The sequence below is a fragment of the Homo sapiens genome, chromosome 11 (genome assembly GCF_000001405.40).
Source record: "Homo sapiens chromosome 11, GRCh38.p14 Primary Assembly".
Classification (NCBI taxonomy): Eukaryota; Metazoa; Chordata; class Mammalia; order Primates; family Hominidae; genus Homo; species Homo sapiens.
Genome location: NC_000011.10, coordinates 76416071 through 76424779, shown reverse-complemented (window position 1 = coordinate 76424779; position 8709 = coordinate 76416071).

Genomic DNA, 8709 nt, shown 5'->3' with positions numbered 1-8709 from the left:
CCAGCAATTCCAGGATGGTGTGGTAAGAGATCTGGTTGAAATAAGTTTAGGGTACTATGGAAGTATAGAAAGAATGAAGAGCACCTAAACTTAGAAAGAGAAGGGTAATTGTCAAAAGGAAGTGTGGATTGATCTGAGTAATGAGAAACTGCATAGGGGATTCCCAGGCAGAGAAAGGGAGAATATGCATTGTAGACAGAGACCAGCAATGCAGAGGTATGAAGACAGGAGAGATCAGGGTGTGGCACCGCAGGTGGGTTGGTGTGGTGAGAAGAGTGTGAACGTGCCGTTGAGAAGTGGGGGGAAATGAACAAATGTCAGGTGGTGGATGGCTTGAGTTCCAAGCTAATGAACTTAGACCTGACACTGTAGGACAGAGGTGGTAAATTATCAGGATTTGGCCCAGAGATGTGCTTTGTTTGCCCCACATAATTTTTTTACATTTGCTTTGCCAGTGTTTTAAAACCGGGAGGTTTTACATAAAATTCTGGATTTCCAGCTTCTGTGGAAAAATCAGGTGATCTGGCCACACTAGGCTGTCATTCATTGCTTGTCCTTCTTAAGTGCCGTATGTGTTTTGTAACTCGCTAGTCTCCACCGCACCTCTTTGTCCTCATACCCCTGCACTCTTGTTTTTCTTTAGGGGGAGAAACATTTCTCACTACCAGTATCTCTGTGAAAAGTAAAGAGTTGAAGGTTAGAGCCAGGCATTTCAGAAAATGGGGAACAGCATGTTTCTTTGTGGAAATAAAGAAACAAAGTATATCCATTAAAACACTGCAACTTTCTCTTAAACCAGTTCTCTTCACTTGTTTATGTTACCTACAGGATTTACTATATAAAGAATAATAACTTCACCGGGCCACCTTACTTTCATAAAACTTGTGATGCTCACAGACCGTCAAGCAGGAATGTGCTGGGTGTTCTAGTCTTAAAGAAGGTGTAAGAGACATGTACGTCTCTGGCCAGAGATTGTCAAAGAGAGGCAAACACTGATTCTCAGAGCCTCAAATAAGTGATGAATCAAGTAGAAAGAAATTGGGAGGGCACAAAAAAGAGCTTGTTGGGGGCCACAGGCAGCTAATGCAGCCAGTGACAGCAGAGAGGAAATGCAGCATAACCTCCAACTCCAGGATCTAGGGCCTAAAGGCCAGAGCCACTCCCTGTAATGATGCAGAACTGGCCCAGCTTCTCAGTAAGAGGGTTGCTGGGTCCTTCAGTCTCGCCCCTGCTTCCCCTTGCCCCACCCTCACATCCTGGGACTGCACCGCACTTCCACTAATCTGAACCCTCCTGCCCTCTCAGAGTCTCGAACTGCTGCTTCTGAGCTCCATGTAGCTGGTGAAAGGAGGCTGCCTTGGGCTCTGTGGGGGCCTCCTGTCTTCATTGATGATTCTCTGCAGCTCAGCTCCTCTCCCCATGTAACTGATCCCAGTCCTCTGGTTCTGTCAGTGCCTCTGCTGTGTACATTATGACATGTGTGAGCTCCCAGCTAGGTGGGAACCCTGAGTGAGGTGTGAGCTTCCTCCCAAGCCACTGAAGTTGGCTTTCTGCAGTAAGCCAGACACTTGGGCGCTGCTGGTCTTAGAAACAGTGCTTTCACTACATGGTCAGGGAGAAGGGATTCCCTAAGTCTTCAAATTGATCTCTCTGCTCCTCCATCTTTTCCCACCTCAATTCTGCTTGTACCCGTGGAATTACTATACATTAGAACATAATGCTAAATATGTCATGCTTCTGATCAAAAGTCTTGGGCAGCTCCTCATTTCCTACCAAATTCAAACCAAATTATCTGCCCTGGCATGTTGGACCTGTCCCAGGCTGACCCCAAAATGCTATTTTCTAGGCTTATCTCCCACTATAAATAACAAATGCTGCCAGGCATGGTGGCTCATGCCTGTAATCCCAGTATTTTGGGAGGTCGAGGCGGGTGGACCACCTGAGGTCAGGAGTTCAAGACCAGCCTGGTCAACATGGTGAAACCCCACCTCTACTAAAAATACAAAAATCAGCTGGGTGTGGTGGCGCGGGCCTGTAATCCCAGCTACTCGGGAGGCTGAGGCAGGAGAATCACTTGAACCCAAGAGGCGGAAGTTGCAGTGAGCCGAGATTGCGCCACTGCATTCCAACCTGGGCAACAGAGTGAGGCTCCATCTAAACAAACAACAACAACAACAACAAAATGCTCCAGCCAAAATTTCATTTGGCCTTCTCTGCAAGCAAGAAGGTTTCTTGCCTTGGTTCCTTTCTTCCTTCATGCCCATTTCCAGCTGTCCAAAGCCTACCCATTCTACAAACTTCATCTCAAGCCACCTCTCAAAACTCCTAATGGTTCTAGTCACATGTCACTCTTGCTTGAGGTACCTGCCATACATTGTTCTCCTTGTTTAACCCTGGGTATAGTCTATTTCTTTTTTTAATTATGGCCACACATCTTAGCCTTTTTGCAAGGCTGAGCTTAGACAAAAGGGGTTATGTATTTGCCTGTGTCACCATGCTTGGACAGGGCCTGGTGAATGCAAGATGCTCAGAAATATTTCCTTGAATTGTGTTCATTCTTCCTGCCATATTTTTTGGTGGATTCAAAAAAAAATCTACCTTCCTGGTACCTCTCATGTAATCCTCAACTCTTCACAAAGGAATGGCTCTTAACTGTCATTTTGTCCAGTCTTGCATTTGATGATAGGCAGCTCTTCCTGACATCCCTGCCAAGGAAGGATGCCAAGTAATTTCCCACTAGAGCAGATGGAAAAGTAGTAAGACCCATCCAGGTGAGACTAAATACCTGGGCAAGACAGAAAGTTCACACACAAAGGCATCAGAGTTAGTCTAATTGTGTCTCACTGGGGGCCAGGCTGTCCCTTTTTTTTTTTTTGAGACAAAGACTGGCTCTGTCACCCAGGCTGGAGTGCAATGGCACCATCTCGGTTCACTGCAACCTCTGCCTCCTGGATTCAAGCGATCCTCCTGCCTCAGCCTTCCAAGTAGCTGGGATTACAGGTGCCCGCCACCATGCCTGGCTAACTTTTGTATTTTTAGTAGAGACAGAGTTTCGCCATGTTTATCAGGCTGGTATTGAACTCCTGGCCTCAAGTGATCCACCCACCTTGGCCTCCCGAAGTGCTGGGATTACAGGCATAAGCCACCGTGCCTAGCCCAGGCTGTCCTTTTTGCCAGATGTTCTCAAGCCACAGTAGTAAGAAAGGCCCAGTCCACTGGTAACAGGGAACCAAGACCAGGCCAACTCAGGCGTCCTTTGCAATCATCCTCCCCTGCATTGTGTAGCTAGCCTACCTCATCCCCATGGGGAGTGAAGGGACGGGAGGAGACATCATATTTTAAGTACCATACATCATAGATTCAAGTTTCTTGGAATTTCATCCCATAAATTAGGAGGCAATAAAACATGAAGGAAAGAGCATGGCCTTTGGAGCCAGCCAGAACAGGTTTAATTTTCATTGTTTTGCTTAGTATGATGTGGTTAAGAACTCTGGAATTAAGCAGAACCAGGTTCAAATGCTATTATGCCATTTCTTATCTCTATGACTTTGGGAAAATTACCCACCTTCTCTGAGCCTTCATTTTCTAATATGTAAAATAGGGATAATAACACTATCCTCATGGATTTTTGGTGAAAATTAAATGAGAAAATACATGTGTGTCAGCTACGATGTCTTTAGCTCCAAGTAACAAACCAAAACTCTAAATGGCTGAAACATGGCAGAATACACAAGGAAAATGTATCATCTCATATAACAGGAAGTCTAGAAGTAAGGAAGTTTCAGGATTGGTTAATTCATCAAAAACTCTTCTTTTCATCTTAATGCTTTTCCAACCTTGGTATATAGACTTTCCTAGGCTGGCTTCCCTCATGGTCATAAGATGGGTGCCACAGTTCCCAGCATTATATCCAGATACTACAATATACAAAGCAGAAAAGGGTCATCTCTTTCTTTTGTGTCTTTCTAAAAATAAGAAAACCTTTCCCAGAAACATCTCACTGATACTCTCCCCCACATCTTTGGCCAGAGCTGGGTAATAAGCCTGCCTTTAATCCAATTGCTGACAAAGGAGGAATGGGATCACTATGATTGGCTTGGCCAGTTATACTGGAGATAGAGCCTCTTTTCCTGCTGGATGGATTGCTGGGTAAAATTAGAATTCTGTTAGCAGCGAAGGGGCAGGATGGCTACTGGGTAGGCAAGCAACACAGTCTGTTACAGCATGGAATCTGGCACATGGTAAGCATTTAAGCATTTAACTCTTGTTATTAACTCTTACTAGCTGTATGAACTTATTCAAGTCACAAATCTCATAGATCCCCAATTTTCTGAAAATAGGAGTAGGATTATCAGCTTTGTTGGATAGTTATAAAGTTAAACAAGATGACATGTGTAAAGTCTTTGGAGCTTAGTAAATGATAGCTACTTACAGTTGTATATAATTATTGCTAGAGTACTTGGGCAGCAGGCCGACATCTCCAGCAAAGATTCCTGGAGTTGGCACGAGACTGAAAAGCTCAAAAGCATGAGAACTAGAAACTGTTCATACTCAATTTTCTATAATTGTGATTCTGTGTGTTAATTTGCCAGACCTTAATCCAGTTGCCCATGCCCAGTAGTTCTCCCTTCATGTAAGGAGATCCCGTAAGAAAATGATTTCTGCTAGGTGGTCCCCTGCCCTTGCCCCTAGAGGGCACTAAAGGCAATCCTGCCTCTCCTAATGTATTTGATGGCCCAACACCAACATCAATCGATCCAAGATCCCTCTTCTTGGGCTTTGAGTCCTCAACTCAGGATGGGAGCTTGATTCTCCACAGCACCCTGGGCTATAGCTGTGTCAGACCCTGATTCCCATCCCAGCTCTGCCACTTATGAGCAGTGTGACCTTAGGCAAAGCACTTAACCTCTGTTTGTTTGTTTGTTTGTTTGTTTGACAGAGTCTTGCTCTGTTGCCCAGGCTGGAGTGCAGTGGCCCAATCTCGGTGCACTGCAACCTCCACCTCCCAGGTTCAAGCGATTCTCCCACCTCGGCTTCCCGGGTAGCTGGGATTACAAGCATGCACCACAATGCCCGGCTAATTTTTGTATTTTTAGTAGAGACTGGGTTTCGCCATGTTGGTCAGGCTTCTCTTGTACTCCTGACCCCAAGTGATTCTCCCACCTCGGCCTCCTAAAGTGCTAGGATTACAGGGGTGAGCCGTCGTACCCCGCCGCTTTACCTCTCTTTGAATATCATCTGCCAGACGTGTAAAATGGGGCTCAGCCTCATGTTTTGCTACCTTTCCCTCAAACTCAGTCCTCTGGTCACTTGGAATGACCTGATGTTCCTGAACAGACCACAATATCTTCCCCTCCAAGCCTTTATAGGTTACTTTCCCTTCCAGAATCAATGCCAACCCCATTTCATCCTCACCAATCAGGATGGGGTTCAGGAAAGCATTTCCTCTTTCTCCACCTTCTGCCCACAGCTCAAATGATCCTAAAGCACCTTGGACTTACTTCTTTTGTTCTTTTAACAGTTTATCAGTATTGTTTTTAAATTTTTTTATTGATACATAATAGATGTATATATTTTGGGGGTACATGTGAGAATTTAATACATTCATATAATTTGTAAAGATTGAATCAGTATAATTGGGATATTTGTCACATTAAATATTTGTCTTTTCTTTATGCTACAAATATTCAAATTATTTTCTTCTGTTTTGAAATATATAATACATTATTGTAATGTATTACATATTTATCTAACACTAGGTTTTATTTCTTCCATCAAACTGCGTATTTGTACCCATTAATCAAGCTCTCTTTATCTCCCTTCCCTCCTACTCTTCCTGTCCTCTGGTAACCACCAATCTGCTCTCTATCTTCATGAGATCCAGTTTTTAAGCTCCCACATATGATATTTGTCTTTCTGTGCTTGGCTTATTTCACTTAACATAATGACCTCCAGTTCCTTACATTTTGCTGCAAATGACAGGATTTGATTCTTTTGTACGGCTGAATAATATTCCATTGTGTATACGTACCACACATTCTTCATCCATTCATCTGTTAATGGACACTTAAATAGATTCTGTATTTTGAGTACTGTGAATAGTGTTGCAATAAACATAGGAATGCAGGTACCTCCTTGATATATTGGTTTCTTTTCTTTTGGATAAATACCCAGTCCTGGAATTGCTGGAGCATATGGTGGTTCTATTTTTAGTTTTTTGAGGAACCTCCATAAAGTTTTCCATAGTGGCTGTACTAATTTATATTTTCACCAACAGTGTATAAGGGTTACCCTTTGTCCACATTCTTTCCAACATCCATTATTTTCTGTCTTTTTGATAAAGACCTTTTTTTTTTTTTTTTTTTTTTTTTTTTTGAGACAGAGTCTCACTCTGTCGCCCATGCTAGAGTGCAGTGGCACAATCATGGTTCACTGAAGCCTCGACTTCCCAGGCTCAAGCAATCCTCCTATCTCAGAGTCCTGAGTAGCTGGGACTATAGGCATCTGCCACCATGCCCTGATAAGTTTTTGTGTGTATTTTGTAGAGACGGAGTTTCACAATGTTGCCCATGCTGGTCTCAAACTTCTGAGCTCAAGTGATCCACCTGCCTTGGCTTCCCAAAGTTCTCGGACTATAGGCAGGAGACACCACACCTGGCCTATAAAAGCCATTTTAACTGGGATACCTTGCATGTATTGCTATAATTACATTGCTGTCCCAGGATGGGAACTTTTACTTGTCTTTCTTAACCACTAAGTTGTGAGACCATAAATTAAGAGGAAGGTCCCTGGACTTACTAATTGCTTTATCCTCAGAAAAATATAGAGTGTTGAAATGTCATCACTGCAAAGAAGTGTTGTCAGTGAAGGGGAGCTCCAGTTCCAGTGAAGTTCTATGGGTGTTGCCTGGAGCCCCAGTAGCACCATGGAATCATGCACCTCCCTCCCCTCTCATCCCTGGAATCTCAACTACAACAAATAGCAAGATGATTTCCTTCCTTGGGAGCCTATCCTAGCAAGTGGAGCATTTCAATAAACAAATAATAAGTGTGGAACAAATGGAAGAGGGAAATGTGGGACCCCAAGAGGAGGATTGAAATGAGACTTGGCAAGAGGCTGTGAATACATCCAAAGCTGATAGATTTATTATTGAGAAGTTTGTTTTTCCTCATGGATCTTCCCTGCCTCCGGTATAATAGCACGCAGGGCGGGACATAAAGCCAAAGTGATTTGGAGGAAGCAGGACACCTAAATTCATTTGACTTGGAAAGAGCTTTAAATTTTTACATTCTGTCTTCAAACGTAGAGTTTCCCAATGGTCTTAGGGGGATGCGTGTGCATTTATGCACATGTGCATCCTAGATTTTTGTTTCTTTCTCACAACATGCACACACATACATGCACACGCACTTTGATAGGCAGAGATGGATTTTTTAAAAAAGATCACATTCCCATTCTTCTCCAATAAGTTAGATAGAAAACAGGCCCTTAAACTTCTTTTTTTATTTTTTCTGGAGTGCAGGAGGATTTAGGCATTCCAGATTCTCATATTTCTCCAAGGTGAACCAAATGTTTCCATTCCATATTTCAGGATCCCATTTCTTCCCATTTAACGCTCTGACTTTCCTGTAAGAAACCTGGGGCACCTGTGATTTCTACGAACATTGTAATTCTGCACCCACAGGATTAAAATTTGGGTCTGACTTTCAATTATCTTAGTCCCATAGCTATAATAGGTTATATATTAATATAATTAACATTAATATATAAATATAGTTTTGTATACTAGTTATAAATACATATATATTTTAAAGCTACAATGGAAGCTCTTTGGTTTTCTGAACATGCCTAACTGAGAGTTTAGAATCCTGAGCTTGAATTTTTTTTTTAATAAGAACTTCAGCACCGTCAGAAGCAACTAATCCATCTTAAAATCCTTGGTCACAATTCTCGCCTTAGTAGAGCATTTCAGCAGCCATTTGGTCTTCCAAAGACTTGCTTTTGAAGGCATTTCATCCCAGTTATTCACAAGATGCTAGTTTAAGTAACTTTTGCTATTGCATGCCATGGACTACGGTGGACAGTTTTGGGAGATGCAGTTCGCCGACCTCCAAATGTCTTTGTATATTCTTGTTTGTCCCAAACTGCAAGGACTAACCATTTTCTGACCCTGAATCGTTTATATAATTAGTCACAAAAGCAGTTAGGTAGGTAGGGGTAGGTCAAGGTGACCACAACGTCCAGCAATTCACTCTCCAGGGGAAGGAGACTGGCTTGTTAACTGCTTGCTATAAAAGGTTCTGCCCTTAGCCCAGGGTTCCTTGGTGACATCACAGGCCCAAGGCACGCATAGCTGCCATCTGGGCCATTGTATTGACTAGTGGGATTTGAGGGCAAGGAAACTTGCTCTACCATGCTCTTGGCCCTTTTGTTTGCTATGCTGTCTTTTTCTGATCCACTGGGTCTTGCCTACTTTCAGCACCCATAGAGTTGTGGCAAGTCAATTTGGAGTCCTGTTACTCCTTGCCATCTTCCATGAGGTTGGAACTCTTCCCTGACACAGTATCCCATTTTCCACTGGCAATGAAGTCATCGTTGAATTCAGGCCCACTCAGGTCATATTACAATCCCAGATTCGTATCATGGAGGGTCAGTTTCCCATGACCGCTTTCATGTCAAGTATTATATTAGCAGTGTCCTGTCAGGAAA